At 39.5% G+C, this 22,341-nt stretch overlaps 1 protein-coding gene across 4 annotated transcripts in view, besides 1 other annotated feature; it reads left to right on the top strand.

Moving 5' to 3' along the window:
* Positions 10,503–11,002: an enhancer, noted in NCBI's record as "H3K4me1 hESC enhancer chr2:56150477-56150976 (GRCh37/hg19 assembly coordinates)". NCBI's record gives its function as "activates a minimal SCP1, AML or CMV promoter by ChIP-STARR-seq in naive H9 embryonic stem cells {active_cell/tissue: H9 hESC(naive)}" and the evidence as "EXISTENCE:reporter gene assay evidence [ECO:0000049][PMID:30033119]".
* Positions 10,562–22,341, top strand: part of EFEMP1 (EGF containing fibulin extracellular matrix protein 1) — a 57,816-nt gene continuing 46,036 nt past the window's right edge. For 2 of the 4 annotated variants that reach the window (XM_005264205.5, NM_001039348.3), the window contains exons 1-5: positions 10,562–10,633; positions 11,405–11,445; positions 11,897–11,984; positions 16,077–16,125; positions 16,293–16,679. In XM_005264205.5, coding sequence (XP_005264262.2) covers positions 11,904–11,984; positions 16,077–16,125; positions 16,293–16,679 — 517 coding nt within the window. In that variant the 5' untranslated portion in view covers positions 10,562–10,633; positions 11,405–11,445; positions 11,897–11,903. The remainder of the gene's footprint in view (positions 10,634–11,404; positions 11,446–11,896; positions 11,985–16,076; positions 16,126–16,292; positions 16,680–22,341) is intronic. The other 2 variants (XM_017003586.3, NM_001039349.3) reach the window with 1 other exon arrangement.

Below are 22,341 nucleotides of genomic sequence, written 5' to 3'. Positions count from 1 at the left end.
CTCAGCTGAGGGCCTGGAGCAATGGAGATACTCAAAAAGCCCTCAAGAATGAAGGGAGGGATGAATATTATATGAGATAAGAAGCAAGAAAACGTGATTCCTGACACAGCTCTGCTATTAAATGTGAGTGGGTATGTGTCTGTCTGTCTGCCTATGTTTCAGAAATTCGATACAATGGAGGAGTGGTATTAGAGCCTTCAGCTCTGAAGTCAAATCATAAAAAGAATACTAATGGCATAGGAGGACAAAGAATTAAAGATCTAGTGCCCGTTTAATGTTGCTAGGCCTTTGATAAATATGAGAACATTGGAATAAGAGGGGTCTGAAAAATGATCTTCAGGCTGAAATATAGGAGACAGAAAACCAGCTCCCTTTACACAACTATGAAATGTTTTATTTCACTTAAACTAATTATTAAGTTGTTCAACTCTAGTTTCAAGGTTATTTGTAGAGAAAGAAGAAAAAAGGAACAAAGGTAGCCTTATTTTCTGTGACCCAGTTGTTACTTATCCCATGTAGATACAATGATGTTGGTTTAAGAAATCTGGCATTTAGGCCGAGGGCGGTGGCTCATGCCTGTAATCCCAGCACTTTGGGAGCCTGAGGCAGGTGGATCACAAGGTCAGGAGGTTGAGACCAGCCTGTCCAACATGGTGAAACCCCGTCTCTACTAAAAATGTATAAAAATTAGCTGGGCATGGTGGCATGGGCCTGTAATCCCAGCTACTTGGGAGGCTGAGGCAGGAGAATTGCTTGAACCCAGGAGGTGGATGTTTCAGTGAGCCAGGATCGAGCCACTGCACTCCAGCCTGGGAGACAGAGCGAGACACCATCTCAAAACAAACAAACAAACAAACAAAAACCCCAGAAATCTGGCATTCCTCAACAGCTAGTAGAAAAATTAATGAGGGGATAAAAGATGTTAGGAAGGAAAGACACATAGACGATGCTAGGAAAAGAAGGAAGATATAGTGATTAGGCACAGCAAGTAAGAGCCAGCATATGGCCAGAACAGCAAAACTTCTCAAAGATAATCTAAACAGAAGTCTAAAATTCACAAATATTCAAAAGCTCTTCACTCTGTGATAAAAGTTCAAAATCCTATTTTTTATCACCAACTAATAGGTCACTTTGCAAACTCAAGTATAATTTGATAAAGATAGTTATACCATGTTTTCCATTATAATTCATACATATGAGTTTGAATTGATTGAACCAGTGGTGTGGGCCTGCTGTAAAGTGATTTTCATTGAGAGACTTGGAAACCACCTCGGGAAAACCCACACTTAATTCAATAACAGACACAGCTGTTGGGGAGGAGGAAAAGAAGGTAGCACCATGAACTGAGTGCAGTATCATCACCCGGATTTGTTCCCCTGGCCAAAGCATCACACAATGGTTCTTAAGGAAAGGTGCTTATGAGCCTCTAGGTTCAAGAAGGTGTTTCTGCTATTGACTATGTAAATAGTGACGTCTAATGCAATGCCACTTTGGTGCCCATGTGAAAAAGTCACATATATACATAGAATAAGTATGGAGAGAGAGAGAGAAGGAGAAAGCCAATGGAAACACATAGAAAGTCTGGAAAATATACAACAATGTTAACAATGGTTAATAGTATTAAGCCATTTTTATTATGGATGATTTTAATTTACAGCTTTATACTTTTGTATGTTTTATAAAATGTCTACATTGAGCATTTGCTACTTCTATAATCAGGAAAAAACAAATATTGCTAATGAGTCAAAAGGAAGAAGAAAGCTACAGAATGTTTAGAAACATAAGTTCATTTTTAAATGTTGGCAAGTCATGGAAAATAAACTTTTAATCAAGGTGGTCATTTTTAAGCCTATTGTTATACTTGCTTAATATACTTCAGAAGAAAAAGAAGTACTATTTTGTCTAAAATATAGCTTATTCAAACATTTTTTTTTATTTGGTAGTTATTAGTTATTAATTAGCTCTAGCCCAGGATTTCTGGAAGTGTTTGAAAGAAGACTAAGTGATAGAAATTTACCATGTATGTTTAGTATAACCTCATCTTCTTCACTGATTTACATAATTCCTTAGAGAGAAAATAACTCCTTAATATAGCATAAATTTATATTCAACTAAGTCTTCACAATACACAGAGGAGGAAATAAAAACAGTTATTCCTACAATTTTTATTTAAACCAACTGTCTGGAATTTTAAGACTCATATTAAGTTTTATTTATGAATCTGAGTGTGACTAATTGAACCATAAGCCATTTTATATCACACATGGTATGTAATATGGTCTCTCCTAGCTAAACGTTCAATTAAAAAAAATGAGGAGGATGACGACAAATATGACACCATGAAGTATCTTTATGATTTATTTTCACAAACATTTGGGGAGTATCCACCAAGTGCCAGGTCATATGCTTTTGCTCAGCAATACAAAGATAAGACTATCAATTTCAGCTCCCAGACAGGTGAGGCTTGGGCATTAGTAAGGGCTGGGGCCAATGTCCTGGAAGTTTGCAGCAGGGGCAGACATAAGGGTCACTAGCCCAAGGTCTGCAGAGCAGAGAACTGAGCGACAATAATGTAAAAGGTCATCTCTAGGAGAGATGCCAGAATTAAAGCCAGGCTGGCCAAGTGAATTGTCTTACAGAGGGGGTATAAGATGAGAAGAAGACTCCTAGTAGGAAGCAATGGGACAGAAATCAAAACAGACAACAGGATTCATAGTACAGGGTCAGGTGGAGAAATTTCCCAAGGCAAAGTGCATTCTGCACGAAGCTTTGTCGAGCCTATACTGTAATATGGGCTGCTAAGGAGGTAGACAAACATAGTCCCTGCCTTCCGAAAGATCACAGCCTAGCAGAAGAGAGAGATAACATCCATTTCATTCATGTCTACTCCACCCAACAGCTCCCTAAGGGCTGGAAACATTCCTCAGTCAAATGTGAGTTGGATGGATGGATGGATGATGATAATGAAGATTAATTATGTCAAATCAACAAAGGAGGCTGTAAATAAAGAGATAGGGCAGGGAAGTGGGGAAGTGGAATGCTCCAAAAATGAGGAGTTAAGACTTGTGGTCCTACTCTTGGTTCTGCCACTTACTAGTGTTAACTTGGATAAGTCGTCTAAGCTTTAAATTTCATGAGGGAGTTGGAGAAAATGGCTGCCAAGATCTCCTTTTTGTTCTTTTTCTTTTTAATCATAAAACGAAATTCACCAATTTTAAAATCAGATTGAAAAGTTCTTTCTGATCCCAGCATTTTTCCAAATGAATTGAACAAATTCAAGTGTTTTATAACTCTTGGCCCTTTTAAAAATTAACTATAATTGAAGCATCTTCTTGAACAGAGTTCTTTACAAAACACACACACACACACACACACACACACACACACACACACACACTTAAATCCAAGCAATTTCCTTGCAATATCTCTCTGTGGATATATAAACTTTTAACCTCTTACCTTGAATAGAGTTTCTACATTTGCCCTATTTAGTCAACAATAAAAGTCAAATATGCCATTTTTTATAAATTATCTGCTAGCAGCATATTATAAATTTCAAGCAGAAAAGTTTGTGGGTTATTTTTTAAGCCTTTCCACATTCTACAGTGAGAGAAGTTAGAAGTTAATGCTAGTTTATCAAAATAATTTATGCTTTAAAGTTCCTTGAAGAGCAGAGAGAAAATAATAACATCCATTGCATTTTTAGGCTTTGGTCTCAGCAGTTCCACTGGTATAGGATATGACATACTAGAGAAAAAAAGTAACAAATCAGTCTTATTAATGCTATATATTTTTTAATTCTAAATGTCGGCAAATACAAAATATCTATGATTTTGTTTAAACCATTGTTCTCTAAAAATTAATTTAAATATTTTCAAAGATATTTTAAAATCTGTTTTGTTATCTGTAATCAGCATCAAGATATAAGATTAACTGTTCACAAAAAGACAGATGAAGAGCATTTCTGTACTTTTCATCCACTAAGTGAAGGAAAAAATAATTCAAGTAAGGTAAAATAAAGTTGGAAAGTAGAAAAAAGAAAATTCTAAAAATCAACAAAATATTATGAAAATGTTCCAAATTGACAAAAGTGGAGTGATGATCCAGTTCTTTAAATTACATATTGAAATAAAATTACTAATTTTCATGGGTATTATTTCTAATTTCATGCTCCATAATACAATCATCCTGAAACCCCATCAGCCTTGATTAGCCAAATGAAGTTTCCGGATATCTAAGTTTGAAAGGAGAGAGTTGGGAACTTGTAGCTGAAAACAACAATTAAAAAAAAAACAGCTTCACATCTGTGTTCGCATCTGAAGTTGCTCTGTAAGATCTGATAACTTGTTAGAAAGCAATCTTTTTTGCAAGGCAGTAGATTTACATCATACATTTTTCTCTCTCCAAGGAAATTCTAATTACTGGTTCCAATCATTTCTGATTGATTTGCTTTTTATTCTTCCAAGGTATTCTCTGCTTTATGATGAAATCAAGCCTTCAATAAAATTCCAAAAATTTTAGAACAATTTACAAGCTCCAGATGACTGAAAGTTTTCTCATGTCCGTTTGGCATTCAGAAAGAGAGTTTCACCAAGTATATTCTGAAGAAGAATACATCTGGCACTCACTAAAACAAAGAACTCACCAGTGACATACTTGAGGCAAATTAATGTTGCGTAAATGCAAATTTGCCAATATTCTTTGAGGCCAAAGCTGCAATCCAACCTCCATATATTTCAATGAGTCCTCTTCTAATGCGCAGGCCACCAGTCACATGAGTGAATGTTTGGGGCATATTTTAGCAATCAATTTAATAACTACACATTATCTTCTATGTACAAATTTAAAATTGCTTATGTGTAATGTGGATTTTTTAAAGAAAAGACTTAGCATCTGTTGAAGACTTGCCTAAGTTCATGTCTTCTCTTGGCCTGATGCAAACTCCAAATCATTGACAAAAAGACAACATAGAAACAAAGAATTTTAGCCCTAGAAAAAAAATTAAAAACCATCTCTTTCAAAGACTTGTTTCAGTAATATAAAGCATATCAGAAATCCAAATGTGTATTCATCATGGGAATATTTTCATGGATAATGTAAATTCTGCTATTCAAAAATACTGAATTTTTATGCATCAATAAGAAAGCAGTCCAAGAAAATAAATAATTTAATCAACATTATTCTTGCAAGAGTCCATTATAGGGCTATCAGTAGTGAATGATCCATTTTTATCAATTCAGTAAGAATACTAGTGTTTTTAAATGAATTCTTTCTGTAAGAAGGAGAGGGTTTTTTCCATCAATTCTGGTTCCAGCCTTGGCTTCTCCTTCAGCAGTTTCCTAGGAGAATATACTTTCACAAATCAAGTGGACCCAAATGTTGCCTGGTTTGGATACATGGCCAGAAACTGTGGGCTAATTCTGTGATTCATATCTTGGTCTCTAGCATGCCAGGGATGCCCACTGTGGGTCCCCGTTGAACACAGTTACTCTACACTTTGATTAAGCACTCTTAAGACTCAGCCACACTGATAGTACATGTTTGATTAAGACACACATTCCAAAGGATACAGAGACATAGATCATAGTGCTCAGTGTGTGATCATCAACATCTGTGAATCTCTTCTAAAATTATGAGTTTGTCACCACATACATCTTCAAATCTTCCTTTTTTTTTTTTGAAACAGTCTTGCTCCGTCACCCAGGCTGGAGTGCAGTGGCGTGATCTTGGCTCACTGCAACCTCCTGAGTAGCTGGAATTACAGGCGCGCACCACCATGCCCAGCTAATTTTTGTATTTTTAGTAGAGAAGGGGTTTTGCTGTGTTGACCAGGCTGGTTTTGAACTCCTGGCCTTAAGTGAATCACCTGCCTCAGCCTCCCAAAATGCTGGGATTACAAGTGTGAACCACCGTGCCCAGCCCAAATCTTTAAAATCTCAGATTCCTCTGAGCTCAGAGCAATTTTAGGAAGGTGAATTTACTGCAATTTCCACTTGCATTCTGCTAAATCCATGCATCCAGTTTGAATCCATAAAGTTGGACTCCATTAAATAAATCATCCAGCAGGGTGCAGTGGCTCCCGCCTGTAATCCCAGCACTTTGGGATGCCGAGGCAGGTGGATCACAAGGTCAGGAGATCGAGACCATCCTGCCCAACATGGTGAAATCCTGTCTCCACTAAAAATACAAAAATTAGCCAGGTGTGGTGGTGTGCGCCTGTATTCCCAGCTACTCAGGAGGCTGAGGCAGAAGAATTGCTTGAGCCCAGGAGGCGGAGGTTGCACTGAGCCAAGATAGTGCCACTGCACTCCAGCCTGGGTGACAGAGGGAGACTCCATTTCAAAAAAAAAAAAAAAAAATTATCAAAATTTAAAATGTTTGCTCTCAAGAGACAGCATTAACAAATTGGAAAGACAAGACAAAGACTAGAAAGAATGTTCGAAAAATGTAAATCTGAAGAGGACTTGCAGGAAGACTATTTTTAAAAACTCTTACAACTAATAAGACCAAAAAATAAAGAAATGAACACAAATTTGAAATAAAATATATTGATGGACAATAAGCATACGAAAAGCAAAATTCAACATCACTGGACATCAGAGAAATGTAAAATAAAACCACAGTGAAATACCACTTACACACCCACCAGAATGGCTAACATTGTAAATTACTGACAATACCAGAAGTTGGCAAGGATTTCAGGCAAATTGAATCTCACATATTGCTGGTAAGAACATAAAATAACACACTCACTTTATAAAACAGTTTGACACTTTCTTATACTGTTAAACATACCCCTACCATATGACAGCAATTTCACTCCTAAGCGTTTATCTAAAAGAAAACATATCCCAGCAAAGACTTAGAAGTGAATGTCCGTAACAGATTTATTCATAAACAATCCAAGTATCTATTAAGATGTAAACAAACAAATCAGGGTATATACATACAATGGAATACTACTCAGCAATAAAAAGGAATGTGTTTCTCATACACCTAATAACAAGGATGCATCTCAAGCAACATGCTGAGTGAAGGAAGTCAGACCCGAAAGAGTATTTACTCTATGATTTCATTCATATGAACTCCCACTGCAAAAAGGCTGCAGGAGAACAAGGTTGTAAACAAGGAGACCAATTAGGAGGATGTTGCAATAATACAGTTGGAAAATGGTGGTGGCTTAGACCAGAGTGGTTGCAAAAGAGGTGATGAGAAGTGGTTCCATTCTGGATATATCATGAAGGTGAAGCCAACAGAATTTCCTGAAGGATAGAATGCAGGATATCTCAGAAAAAGAGAAATCAAGGATGACTCCATGGTCCTGAATCTGAGCAAATAGAAAGATGAAACTGCTTTAACTGAGATGGTGAAGGTGGGTGGAGTAGGTTGGGGGATGATAACAGCAGTTGTGTTCAGTTTGAAACATCCATTAGATGTCCAAATGAAGATAGCAAGTTGGCAGCTGGATATATAGGAACAGTTCCAGGCTGGAGATATAAATTTGAGAGTTTTCACCCCATTTTTCTGGAAAAGTGGCTGGGAACAGGTAGAAAGAGTTTAAGAGAAACAGGAAAAACCATGTGCACAGATCTTCTTACTGTACAAAAAGTAAAGATCCATTTAAAAAAAATCTGGAGGTCATTAATGACTTGGGGGAAAACACTAGAATTTTGATAGTAAAAATATTTGATACAATTACCAAAACTCTGTATACTCAAGTAAGGTTTAGGGAGGGTTGTACACCTCCCCTCTGATCTTGTCCAATACTGTGTGGCTTGCTACCAAACTGGCAATGTCTAGGTAACCCACACTGGATACCCCAGAGATAAAGAGAGCAGCTTCCACCTGATAACCTCCCTCTCCTGCAGTCGCTACCACCCTCCCACCTTGAGTCAGCAGGAAAGGAAAGGAGCTTTTCCTCTCCTCCTGAGCTCTGCCTCCTGCTCAAGGACAGAGTCAAAGTTTTAACCCCTTCAGTTTGTAAGTTTTCTCATTCATGAAATTGTATTTGGCCATTTGCTTCTTAGAAGACAGCTGCCTTGGAAGCAAGCTATTAGTATGACTTTAGAGTTGGAGCCTTCAGAGGTAACTGCAATTTGTGTGGTATGATTTGATAAAAACAGAAAAAAAGATTTTTCTCTCCAGATTCCTGAAATTCCACTATGAAAGGTGAAAGTGAAATGCCCAACTTTGAATGAGCAGTATTGGAGATTTCACTAAGTCAATAAGTGAAGAAAAGAGAAGCTATAGATGAAAAAAGAAACCCATAAAAAGGGAGACTTTTTATTATATATTGACAAATTATAGTTGTATATATTAATAGGGTACAAGGTGTTATGATTTTTTAATACAATGTGTAATAATTAAACCAAGCTAATTAATATATCCATCACCTCAAATATTTGACATTTTTTGTGATGAGAACATTTGAAATTTACTCTCTTAGTGATAATGAAATATACAGTACTCAATTATCAGCTTTATTCACGACACCGTGCAATTGAACTTTAAAAAAATCAAACTTTTCCTCTCTTTTTTTTTTAGATGGAGTCTCACTCTGTCACTCAGAGGGATGATCTCAGCTCACTGCAACCTCTGCCTTCCGGGGTTCAAGCGATCATCCTGCCTCAGCCTCCCGAGTAGCTGGGATTACAGGCACGTGTCTAATTTTTGTATTTTTAGTAGAGATGGGGTTTCTCCATGTTGGCCAGGCTGGTCTTGAACTCCTGACCTCAGGTGATCTGCCCACCTTGGCTGCCCAAAGTGCTGGGATTACAGGCATGAGCCACTGCACCCAACCCTTATTCATCCTATCTAATTGAGGCTTACACTCTTTGACTGTTATCTCTCCATTCCCTGCAACCCTAGCCTCTGGTAACCACCATTCTACTCTCTGCTTCTATGAGTTCAATTGTTTTAAGTTACTTTCAGATACTTGAGAACATGTGGTATTTGTGTTTCTACATTTGGCTTATTTCACTGTGCATAATGTTTTCCACTTCCATCCATGGTGTCACAAATGACAGAATTTCTTTTTTAAGGCTAAATAGTATTCCACACATACACACAGACACATAAAATGGAATACTATTCTCTTTTAAATTTTGTATGCCTAATAATTCATGGTTAAAGGACAAGATAATAACTATTTTTGAGTATCCCGCTGTGGAGACACGATCTCCTTTGATCCTTGCAGCAATGTGTAAGGTAAGTGGCATCATCTTCCTTCTATTAATGGTAGAACTGAAGATCAAAGAGAGTGTCTAACTTGCTTAGGGCTACATAGCCAAGTGGTGAAGCTAAACTCAGTCTAGGCTTACTTGATAGTACACTAACATTAAATGTCTAGGAGTAAATATCTAAAACAAACTGTAAGTCTTCTCTATTTACCATACAAATTATTCAAGTGAACTGCCATTTTTGCCTGGCTTGAAAGATACTTTTCAGAAGAATGGGCTCATATACACATGCACGCGCGCACACACACACACACAATGGAATACTATTTAGCCTTAAAAACGCATATATATCTAAAATATATGTGTGTACATATTTTATATATATATGTGTTTATATATATAATATATATTATATTTGTATACACACACACATATATGCCACATTTTCTTTATCCATTTATCCCTTGATGGACACTTAGGTTGATTCCATATCTTGGCAATTGTGAATAGTGCTGCAATAAACATGAAAGTACAGACGTCTCTTCAACACACTGATTTCAAATCTTCCCAGTAAATACCCAGAAATGAGATTGCTGGATCATATGATAATTCTACTTTCAGTTTTTTGAGAAACCTCCATACAATTTTCCATCATGTTTGTACTAATTTACATTCCACCAACAGCATACAAGCATTCCCTTTTCTCCATTCTTGCCAACACTTGTTATCATAAAGGGAGGTTTGAGAGACCATAAAACAAACCCCACCTCACAATTTTGTTAGTGCAAGTTCTATTTGGCCTATTCCCAACACTAAGCACACAGTAGGTGGCAAATATTTGTTGAATGGATGAATTCTCATTTTTCTCCATTTGTGGAAGCAGACACCTCCTCAAAAAAAAAAAAAAATCCGAAAGAAAAGGTAAAGGAAACAGTTCTATGAATGGGGGTTAATTTACTCTCCTAGCATTCACTTATTGGGAAAAAAAGTAACAGCAGTTTCTAGAACCCTCTGGTCTCTGAGGGAGATGCTGTGTTCCCCTCCTCAGAGAAGAAGAAAACGCACTAGAGAGTGGGAGCATCCCCAAGGCTGAAGCGCATCCAGGACATCACATGTCAACGTGTCCTCTCTGGCGTGGGGTCCCCGCGAGTCTGGGAAACGAGGAGCTGGCAAGGGAGGGCAAGCGGGGGCGGCAAAGAGGGCCCCTGGAGCAGGGGGCGCGGACCTCGCTGCGCTGCGCGCTCTACCGCCGGGCTCGCAACGCTGGGCTCAGCGCTCGCGCCTCCCTCAGCTCTCTCCTCCGCCCCCCTTCGCCCTCCCCCTTTCCCTCCCTTTCTCCTCCTCCTCCTGCCGCCGCGGCCGCTGCCGGACTTCGCCAGATCAGACCCACGGGGCTGCCCTCCCCTGCGCACTCCCCTCGCTGCCCGGGCCCGGAGCGCAGCGCGGCCGCACAGGTAGGAGCCCCCAACGGGGGGTCGCCCCGAGCGAGCCCAGTACTCACTGGGCCGCGCGCGGGAGAGTGAGGTGGGGTGAGCTGAGGGGTGTTGAGTACCCGAGAACTGCCCTGGACTGTGCAGGGTGTCTCGGGCAGAGAGGGAGGTGGAGGTGTGCAGCCTCGGAATGCGATCTGTCAGCAAGTGCGAGTACTCGGGTGACATCTGTTGGGATGGGCATGTGTGTGCGCGCCGACAACCAGCCGGCAGGGCTTTGCCCATAAACGTGGTTTTGAAAGTTTAGGGGACCAGTGTGCGAGATTTAAGCCGCACCTGGATTCCATAGGAGCTGGTTAGAAGCTGGGACGCTGAGCAGCTCCAGGGGACCGCCGCGTTAGCTTGCTGTTAAGAAAGGGGACCTCATCTCCCTGCCGGGCCAGGCCGCCCGCCCGAAACTGGTACCTTGGGCTGCGGTGCGATCCCTGGTTCCGGTCCTAGGCAGCCTGAAACCGAAGGTAGCGTGTCGGGGACCCAGACTGATAAGACAAAAGAGAATCAGTCGCTTTGGGCTGCCCCTCCACACAACCTGGGACTTTTAAACAAAGCTGTGCGCAGAGAAAGGCGTGGAAATGCCACTTTGAGAGTTTGTGCTGGGGGATGTGAGAAGCTCTGAGACATGTGAGAAGGTCTAGTATTCTACTAGAACTGGAAGATTGCTCTCCGAGTTTTGTTTTGTTATTTTGTTTAAAAAATAAAAAGCTTGAGGCCAAGGCAATTCATATTGGCTCACAGGTATTTTTGCTGTGCTGTGCAAGGAACTCTGCTAGCTCAAGGTGAGTATACTGGGAAAGCCTTAACGTTCTAGAGAACAGAGTTTTGCAGCCCCACCTCCATCCCCCGGGGTGTGGGACTGGGGGGCAGGAAATGCACCGTCCCCTTTGAAATGGATTACTGTTTTTTCCTTTCGACCCCCTCTTTCTGCAGCCTGCTTTGTAGGTGCAGTATAAAATGCACGCTGAATGTCTTTTGTATGTAAACAGCGTAGCAGGATGGAGTAACGTGAAATGCAATTCTACAGCAGTTTTTACGTCTTTGCTGCCTCGTTCGTTGGCTACCGAGAAGGTTCAGGAGGGGGAGGGGAGATGAGAAAGCAGATTGGAAGTTGAGTATGGTGGAGCCTCAGCCTCTCCCACCCTCCTTTCCTCGCTTGTGCTCACTGCTAAAGTTTTGTTACTTTCCCCGCAGCAGATACTAAACATTAGTTTGTCCTGTATTTTCTTTGAGATTCACAATGTTGAAAGCCCTTTTCCTAACTATGCTGACTCTGGCGCTGGTCAAGTCACAGGACACCGAAGAAACCATCACGTACACGGTAAGGGGTGATGGAATTTGAAATAAGTACGGTTCAGCGGGATTCTGTGACAAAAAAAGACTTTACACACCCCTGCCAGTGTATTTGGGCTATACTCTGCTGAGGGTGATAAATTAAACAACACTTCATTCATGCTTCATATCTAAGATTCGTTGTAAATTGCCCCCTTGATCCTTTCAAAAGTTCATTGGGCTCACCACCTAAGATAGGAACCAACATGTAATCATTTGTGCAGGGCTAAAAATGGGATCCGTTCAAAAACTAAAACCAAAGAAAGTTACATGTTTCCAAAACATTCAACAAATTAATGGGTGTAAGGAACTGGAAAACCTGGACTCCTACCACATGCAGATAAAACCAATACGTGCAGAATAAGACTCAAGTCAAGTAAGAACGTTAAACACCATAAAGACACATGGCCTTCTTTGTGTACATGACATGCATTCTCAAGTAAGTGGCCTTTATTGAATTTATAAAGGCTATATATTCATTCTTTTTGTATAACTTGATAATTCTAATAAATAAAGGCAGACAACAGTTTATGTGTTACCAGGATGCATATTGGCTAAAGTGGTTTTAAAACGTAATGTGTGCAACTCCGTTTTGCATTTTCTAATTAGCGTCTCTGATATTTCCAAGTAATATTTGATTAGTTAGTTGCATAGGTGTAACCAATGTTTAATAAAATATTAAAAAGATCACCTGACCCCTCCCACTGCTACAAATAGTTGTGGTGAGAACAGAGAAGGACAGTACTGACTTCACTTCTGGTGAGTTTGTTTGCACCTCTGTTCTGTGTTTTCTTGTCTTTAATCAGTGTTAGGCAAATGACATTTGTCCTGGATTGGAATATGAAAAGCACATTTTTCTACTGCTCCCAGTTTAAAATTAAGTAATCCTACTCGAAAGAATGTGAAAAATTTTTGAAAAGAAAACTCTTAAAAATGAACTAATGTCAATTACTGATAATAAACATTATCTCACTTTTTGGTACCACATTATCCCTAGAATGTTAGTATTCATCTGGCAAATGTTCCTTTCTGTTGTTCAGATCCACTATAAATAAAATAGCTTAATACAAATATTTTGTTAACTTCATGTTAAATGCAGTTGCTTCCTCTGCTGAAGATAAATTAAGCAAGAAAAATGAAGGCATGTGCTGTTTATCTTAAAATGAAAATGTTTTGTTATTCAGACTAAACTTACTGCCTTCTCAGGGAGCTAAAATTAAATTCACTACCCACTTTTATAATCATCTCATAAAAGATTTTACTTCTTTTCCAGTTGCTTATCTTCTATGCCCTTCCCTTTGCTAATCACCTAAATCTTCCTCATTTTTACCAGAGAAGGTTCCCTGTGGCTTAAACATGATAGTTTTAAGACCACTAACTAGGGTTCATTATTATTGTAACAAATTTTCCAGATATGTTACCCTTTTGTGCTAAGATTGGGCCTATTCTCCTTTAAATTTTGTATGCCTAATAATTCATGGTTAAAGGACAAGATAATAACTATTTCTGAGTATCCCGCTGTGGAGACACGATCTCCTTTGATCCTTGCGGCAATGTGTAAGGTAAGTGGCATCATCTTCCTTCCACTAATGGTAGAACTGAAGATCAGAGAGAGTGTCTAACTTGCTTAGGGCTACATAGCCAAGTGGTGAAGCTAAACTCAGTCTAGGCTTACTTAATAGTACACTGACATTAAATGTCTAGAAGTAAATACCTAAAACAAATTGCAAGTCTTCTCTATTTACCATACAAATTATTCAAGTGAACTGCCATTTTTGCCTGGCTTGAAAGATACTTTTCAGAAGAATGGGCTCGTATCCACATAATAGCCTCATAGTCCTCTTCCATATTAAAGATGGTGTCCATTCAGCTGTTTACTCAACAACTATCTGCATAAGCAATTCTCATCACTATTAAAAGAATTTGTTTGTTTACTAAGAAAATTCAGTCTCCTCTTGGAGAATTTAGCCTGGGAAGACAGTGTTGAAAACTACAAAGTTCCTAAGCAAGGACAAATGATACTATTATACAGATTATACAAATTGCCAAGGAAATAGAAAAGCAAGGAGGTGATTAATGTTGGTGCCAGCATATTAGAGGAGACAGAACTCTGTGCTGGTTCTTGAAGGAAGTGATGACCTTGGTTGGATTGATCTAGAAAGGCTGAAGAGGCACCTGAGTCAGAGAGTGGCATAATCAAAAGCTAGAGCTGAAAGCACCTGAGACCAATCCAGGTGGTGATAAGGTCAGATCAGCTGGAACTGGGTAGTGGGAAGAACCCAGAGATGGTGATGATGAGAGATCTGCAGGTCACTGTGAGGTCTCAGAGAGAGGAGCAACATAACCAAGAGCACAAGAAAGATCATGGGGTCTGTATGCAGCATGTAGAGATGCGGGGCCTTGCCTACTCATGGGCCAGCAAAAGCCTTTCTTAGTAGACATGGTAGAAATGGACACAAAGTCAGCAGAGATGGAAGGAAAATAAGTGGAGCATTCAGCACTGATGTTAAAGTTGGAATCCTGGGTTTCGAAAAAGGTAGTGGTACCTTTAACACTGTTTGGGAAACAAGAAAAAAATTAGTCTGAGAGACAAAGTGAATTTAGTTCTCGCTCCAGTAAGTTTCAGACATCAGTAAAATATCTAAATGGATCTCTGGGCTTCCATTCAGCTATTTCCTTGTCAAGCATCCATTGTGTACATAAGCAGCTCTCAGTTATATTAAAAGAATTTAAGTTTATTTGTTTGTTTACTCCACTTTTGCTCAATCCTTCCTTGGGCTTCTTCCTTACAGTGACTTTCTCAAATGAGCGTCTGATCAGATTGTTTCCTGAGCTTAAAAATTCTTCAGAGGCCTCTTATCGCCTGTAGCAACATTTCTCAAGAAGTAGTTCCTAGACAACCTGTATGGGAATCGCCTGGGATACTTGCTAAGAATTTAGATTCCAGGCCCCCTACCCAGACCTACAGAATCAAATCCTTTGGGTGGGCCCAGGAATCTTCATTTTAACAAGAACCCTGAATGATCCTTAGACACAATAAAGCTTGAGATTCACTGACCTTCAGGGTAGAATTCAGGCTTCCATTCCTAAAGAAAGGCTTTCTTGTTTTGGCCCTGCCTACCTCTGTAACCTCATCCTCCACCTACCCAGAACTCCTTGCAGCTCCTTCCCTTTTCAAAAATTTTATGCCTTTGTCACAATAGCCTCTCTTCCTAGAATTCCCACATTCACCTGGAAAAATCCTGCTCATCCTGTAAAGCCTGATTTACTGTCACCTCCTCTGTCAAGTCTTCCCTTCTGCCCTGCCATGCTCACCCATGCCCCCGGGCAGAGTCCATTACTCCTTCCTGCATACACTTGTAGAAGGCACCTGCCATCTTGCTGCAACTTGTCTACCTATCTGTCTCCTCTTCTGGTCTTTGAGCTGCTTGAGGACAGGGACAAAGTCTGCATCATCTTTGCATCCCCAGGCCCTAAAACTGCCTGGTTTCAGAAGGTGATCCATAGGCTGTTTGTTCAGTGGGTGAACTAGAGAGGAGATTGAAGCTGGGAACTGCTAGGAGGAACACCTCTGTTCCTTAGGAGCTGAAGCTAGGGAGCAGGTCAGGGTGTGAGATGGAGGTGCTTGAATGCTGTAAGAGGATTTAGAGAGAGAGAGAAGAGTCCAGGGCTGGTTGGGGGTGGGGGCGGGGGAGAGGGCGAGGAAAGAGAGAGAATTTGGTCTTTTTTTTTTTTAACATTTCCAATGTGGGAAAAAAGGCAAATTAATAAAGAGCAGTCAGAGAAGTTGGAGAAGATTAGTCTCAAAACAGAAAAGAAGATGGTACTGGGCAACTGTACCAAAAAGAACAGAAGAGTTTAGGCAGCTGATGGTTGAGAATGGACCCCCGAAGCTGTCCAATGCACAGACTTGTCTTTTGAAAAAAAAGCGATAGAATGTTAAACCACCCATCTCATCATATATCTAGGACTTTAGCACAAGGATTGTTGCCATAAGAATGAAGCTTTTAGAGTGATTTCTTAGGGAATGGACACACCAATTAACTGTCTCCTGGCCCCACCTTTGATGTTTTCTTCACAGCAATGCACTGACGGATATGAGTGGGATCCTGTGAGACAGCAATGCAAAGGTGAGCCAGCTTCAAAGACTTCCATGTGATCATTGCCTTCTGTCTCCATCTCTTGTGTCACTCTTCCTGTCCTGTCTGTGTTATACCAAAAAGGCATGAGCATTATATTTACATGTTTGATTTTTCCCTCTTAGAAGATTCCTGACTTATTTTATTACTGACCACAGATATTGATGAATGTGACATTGTCCCAGACGCTTGTAAAGGTGGAATGAAGTGTGTCAACCACTATGGAGGATACCTCTGCCTTCCGAAAACAGCCCAGATTATTGTCAATAATGAACAGCCTCAGCAGGAAACACAACCAGCAGAAGGAACCTCAGGGGCAACCACCGGGGTTGTAGCTGCCAGCAGCATGGCAACCAGTGGAGTGTTGCCCGGGGGTGGTTTTGTGGCCAGTGCTGCTGCAGTCGCAGGCCCTGAAATGCAGACTGGCCGAAATAACTTTGTCATCCGGCGGAACCCAGCTGACCCTCAGCGCATTCCCTCCAACCCTTCCCACCGTATCCAGTGTGCAGCAGGCTACGAGCAAAGTGAACACAACGTGTGCCAAGGTAGGAATAACTTATTTTCCTAACCATTGAAAGCTTTTGCCCAAGTGCACCTCGTGGTGAGGATGATGATAATTTATTAAGGACTTCTCGCGTGCCAGACATCATGCTAAGTGCTTTGTCTGCATTATATTTAATCATCACAATATTCCTAAAGGGTAGTTGCTGTAGTTGTCATCATTGCTTTACAAATGGGAAACTGTGGCTTAGAAAGTTCATCAGTGGTTCCCAACCCTAGCTGCCCATATTTAGAGTCACTTGGGAACCTTTAAAACTTCTCGATGGCGAAGCTACACCCCAGCCCAGTTAAATCACAGTCTCTGAGGTGGGTTCCAGGCATCGGCTTTTTTTTCAGTTCCTCATGTGCGGCCAAGTTTGAGAACCAGAGGTCACACAGGTGCTAAGTGCAGAGCTGACCTTCCAACCCAGGAAGGCGGGTGCCAAAGTCACAGCTGGCAAAAGTCACCATCAGGTTATTCACTGGGAATTTGAAATTATGCTGTCAAGCTACTCTACAGATGTACCCCTTTGGTTTCTCAAGTTTCTTTTCATCGAACTTGCCACAGACTTATTTTCCTCATTCAGGAGTAAAGAAATGGGGCTCCTGCTTCTCATTACCTTGGAGGGATTCTCCCCCACTCACGTTTATATCTCTTTTAAGCTCTCATTTGACGACGTTTCACTTATATCACTTGCACCATGGCATCATCTGCCTAGGGTTTTCTGTTTATTTTCACAGAGCATACACATCACTGTGTATTCTAGAAACAGCTGTAGGCTCGTATTAGCAAAGTGATAAGAATCTGGGGCTTTGAAGACATGTAGGATATTAGCTAACTGAACTGTGCTATGAGATTGTTTCCCTTTCTTCTTGGCAAACCATTTCAGAGCAGCCTGGTGTGGAGACTGTGTTACTGAAATGGGGCCATAGGAGCCTCCAGACTCCTTTCTCCCTGCCAGAGGCTGATTAGGTAGATCCCATAGTGCAGAACTCCATGTCACCACCACATACGTGTATGGCACACGTGGGCCAATGGAAAGGGTCCAGGAGTTCTTACTTTCTAACTGGTCATGTGTAAGGAAGAGAGCACCTTCCTCCCTTAACACCAAGGGTTTCAATAGAGACCACTGAGCTGCTACATTAAATGAAAGATGCATTTTCTTGTGCCCTGGGATGCTGCCCCTTATTCACCCGTGTTTAGTTTTATCTTCTGTGTAAAAGATACTCGAGTTTAAATGGCTTAAAAATGAAGCAAGGGGCTGGGCACGGTGGCTCACGCCTGTAATCCCAGCACTTTGGGAAGATGAGGCGGGTGGATCACCTGAGGTCGGGAGTTCAAGACCAGCCTGGCCAACATGGCGAAACCCCATCTCTACTAAAAATACAAAAATTCTCTATGAATGGTGGCACATGCCTGTAGTCTCAAATACTAGAGAGGCTGAAGCAGGAGAATTGCTTGAACCTGGGAGGTGAAGGTTGCAGTGAGCCGAGATCATGCTACTGCACTCCAGCCTGGGCAACAGAGTGAGACTCTGTCTCAAAAAAAAAAAAAAAAAAAATGAAGGAAACTTGTCATGCTCTGACTCTTATTTATTTCATATTTTGTTTGTAAGCTTTAAGTACCCCACATCAAGACCTAACCCATGTTGTGATGGTGTCACTTTTCAGAGGGTGCATCGTATTAGCATCTGTTTCGTGTTACTGTCATGAGTCAGAATTCCAGTATTGATGATGAATGCTTCAGCATCTGCTTGATATTCTGATATTGAATTTAAGGATTATGTCAAGGAGATAAAATGATGAGGTTATTCTTATACATGTATTTGGGTTAATACTGATAAAAAAAATCTTGAGTTTATTTAAGATAGACCAACTTTTAATTGTGTTATTTAGTTATATAACTAGACTGGAAAGTTTGGTAGTATTTTTCCCAAAATCAAAAAATTTTGCTGAAAAATTCTTAAGTATCAACTTTTATATACTGAATTATTTTGAATACTTTAGATGTGTACTTTAATGGTACTTGGGAGAAAAAAAAACCAGATAAATGAATGAGTCATTTCCCAAAGTAGTTTGTAGACCGTCATTGACATTTATGGTTGAATTCAAGAACAATGCCCAGAACTAAATGAAGAGGTCCTAGAATAAAATATATTCAAGACTTACAACATGTATTGGTTACGGTAGAAACTGTACTGTGATTAATGAAAATAAAATCCTATTTAACTTTTCTAGAAAATATTTAGACTACCTAACAAAGTAAGTTACGTTTCACATAGTAAAACATTTATAGTTCTTTCTTCTTTGGGAATTTTTTTTAGTTATAAGCAGACTATTAAGTGCCTTGCTTATGGAATATGCTAAATACATACCTGTTGACTGTGTGCACACAGGTTATTTCCAACCCAAATTGATCTGTGTAATTCAGCCAGTTTCTAAAATTTGGGATTGGTGTCTATACCATTGAAAGCAGGGTTAAAAGTTTTTTGGAAGGCTTAGGGCTTAAGTTGGATTTCTTCCCACCTCACAATTTTGCAAAGTGCCCATAAATGTGGATTTACTTAATTGTTGATAAAAGGGGGTTATTTCATATGATAACAACAGGATAATCTGTCTAGGGAATTTGACTAACATAAGTCGAGTCACACTTGTGCCCATTTCTTATTGAGCTAATCAAACATGCAGTCCAGCTTCTTCTAATTGCCTGCAGATGTATGACATTCTCATTCCAGGCCAGCAGCACAAAATAATATTTTATAACCAATGTGGAAGTATGGGGACCTCTGTTTAGAACAATAATGTGCTCTAAGGACCTATATTATTGACATCATCATGGAGTTTGAAGAGTCTTCTGTTTTAATAAAGATCTCCACTCCCTTTTAAATGTTGCATATTTATGCCCAGTAATCCAGACACATTTCCTATGGTCTACTGGATAGAATAAATGAATCTTACAGATGAGTCTTATTTGCATAAAAATTATTTCTTTTTTCTATGTATATTTTTTAGCAGGTATAGTTTATCATTATATAACCTAAAACTCAGGACATTTTAAATGTAAGAACTGAAATCTGTACTGTGTTTCAGTCTTCAAATCAATTGTGCCTTTGAATGCACTATACCAGTCACAGATGGCTTCTAAATAATTTAAATAATACCACTAGATATTTTAAATGTACACTATTTTATAAATATATCCTTTAAATAGCTGTCCATTTAACTGTTTAATGAAAACATGATATGTTTATTCCCCTTCATGTATTTTTGGGGGTGTTTTCAGTTTTGTACAAAAACAAGGAGTTTGAAATACAACATAACATTCAAAGATCAGGTCACAGTGAGCAGGTTTTTTTCAGGTAATTTTTTGCTAAATGAGGATCATGCTGTGGGAGCCAGTAACGCTGGGAGTTTCCCATGACTGACATTATTCTTGGCATCTATAAAATGAAGATCATTTCAGTGTTACATACCTGGGGCCATGTATAGATAGAGTTTTCGAAATTAATTGTTTCCATTAGATATCATCTGCCTCAAAGACAACAGATACTCATCTACACCAAAAAGAAGTTGAATGAATGGGGAATATATTATAATCTGTTGATGGCTCACTTTAGTTTTCTACACCTTTATTGCATAGTCTCTTTCTCCTTTTTTTTTGAGACAGAGTCTCACGCTGTCACCCAGGCTGGAGTGCAGAGGTGCTATCTTGGCTCACTGCAACTTCCACCTTCTGGGTTTAAGCAATTCTTGTGCCTCAGCCTCCCGAGTAGCTGTGACTACAGGCGTGCACCACCACACCCTGCTAATTTTTGTATTTTTAGTAGAGATGGGGTTTCACCATGTTGGCCAGGCTGGTCTCGAGCTCCTGACCTCAGATGATGTGCCCACCTCAGCCTCCCAAAGTGCTGGTGTTACAGGCCTGAGCCACTGTACCTGGCAATAGTCTCTATATAATCTTTCTAAAGGAGATGGAGTTAGAAATCACTAGATGAAGTTGAGAAAGGATTTTTTAAAATCATATATAACTTTCTAAGACTTCCATTCCTGTATTAAAAAAAAAAAGTCATTTGGGAACTGACAAGAAAGAGAAAGCATTGATTGCCCTAATTGAAGAAACTTGTTTGTTTAATTGAACTTTAAAAAAATTAAAACACATGGCATTTTGCATACCTGGTAATTAAGCCACTAATAAACCCTGTCAGGACTTACAGGCATGACTACTAACTTGGTAAAGAAACTGTGCCATCGAGAAATGAACTCAGTACGAATGTCCAATAAAGTTGATTGTAAAACCAAATCGAGTACAGTACCTGGCTTATGTTGTATAAAGTATCATTGAGAAATATGAAAAAAACATACCCTAGGGTTTCCACCATCTCTGTCTACCAGGACTGTCCAGTTTCAAAACCAAAAGCTCCATGTTCCTGGAAATGCCTTTGTCCCAGGCAAATAGGATGGTTGAGCCCCTAGCATACCCACACAGCCAAATCGCCTGCACCTCACAGACAAGAGTGAAGAAGTCCTAACGTTAGAGCCATTTTTTCAGGTTGAGGCATTGCTTGTCCAGTGAGACTATTTTTACAATTTGTTTTGTACTTTCAAAAGACAAACTGCATTGATTTTTAAGTAGTTGGACAGAGTCTTTCTTTGCAGTTGTCGGGATCCCATTTGCCAGTGTGCCAATGAGCAAGTTTCTACATTGTTTTAGATGTTTTATGTGTAGGATGCCTGGACATTAGAACCTGCACACTTAGTTATGTGTCATATGTGTCATACCATGGGAAAGTTAGCAATCTTTTCACATTCCCACCTAGAAAAAATTTCACCACACAGCCAAATTAAATACTATGTTTCACCTATAAATTTTTCAGTTTGCTAAAATTTTTATTTTTTCCAACTTTCAGCTATATTTTCAATCATTTTATTTTGTCATTATTACATGTGATACAGGAGTGATTAGAACACTAAAAAATACATATTTGCCTCCTGTAAAGTCTAAAGGAACAAATTACAGTGTACATAGGGTTCAAATTTAAAAACCTCTATAGTCTTAGGCATCATCCATTTATATTCTACATATTTCTTTATAAACATAAGGGTAACTAAACTACTCTTTTGAAAAAGGAAGAAGTTATTATCTGTACATCTACCTTTGCAAAGAGGAACTTGAAGTAACATATACAGCTTCTCAGATGCTAGGGATATCTTTCTTTGACTTCTTTCATTTTAAACTTAAGTGATCTTATATCCAGAAGAGAATTAGAAAATCATAGTGTAACCAAGTGGCTTAGATACCTGGCATTGTCATTACCAAACAGCTTTCAAACACTGCCCTTTTGTTGATTCTCATTAATGTCATTAGGGTCGCTGGCTGCATGGGTTAGTTTTGTGAGGAAATGCCTAATTTTTCTTCCATATAATTATACAGCCCAGTGAAGACCTGTGATCTCAGAAAATAGATATTTTGCAAAAGGAAGACTATAATTGAGTAAATTATGATGTTAACCTTAAAAAAAAGTACTTTAAGCAGTAAGAAAAATGGGCATTTAGCCTCCTTACAGTTCTTCATTGTTTTTAGTTGTTAATTATCTCAAGTACCTGAAAATTCTCTTAAGTTATATAAATGGATAAGAGTTGAGTTTACAGGGGAGAAAATTATTTTTC

Source organism: Homo sapiens, chromosome 2, assembly GCF_000001405.40.
Source record: "Homo sapiens chromosome 2, GRCh38.p14 Primary Assembly".
Classification (NCBI taxonomy): Eukaryota; Metazoa; Chordata; class Mammalia; order Primates; family Hominidae; genus Homo; species Homo sapiens.
This window is presented reverse-complemented; position numbering and strand designations above follow the sequence as displayed.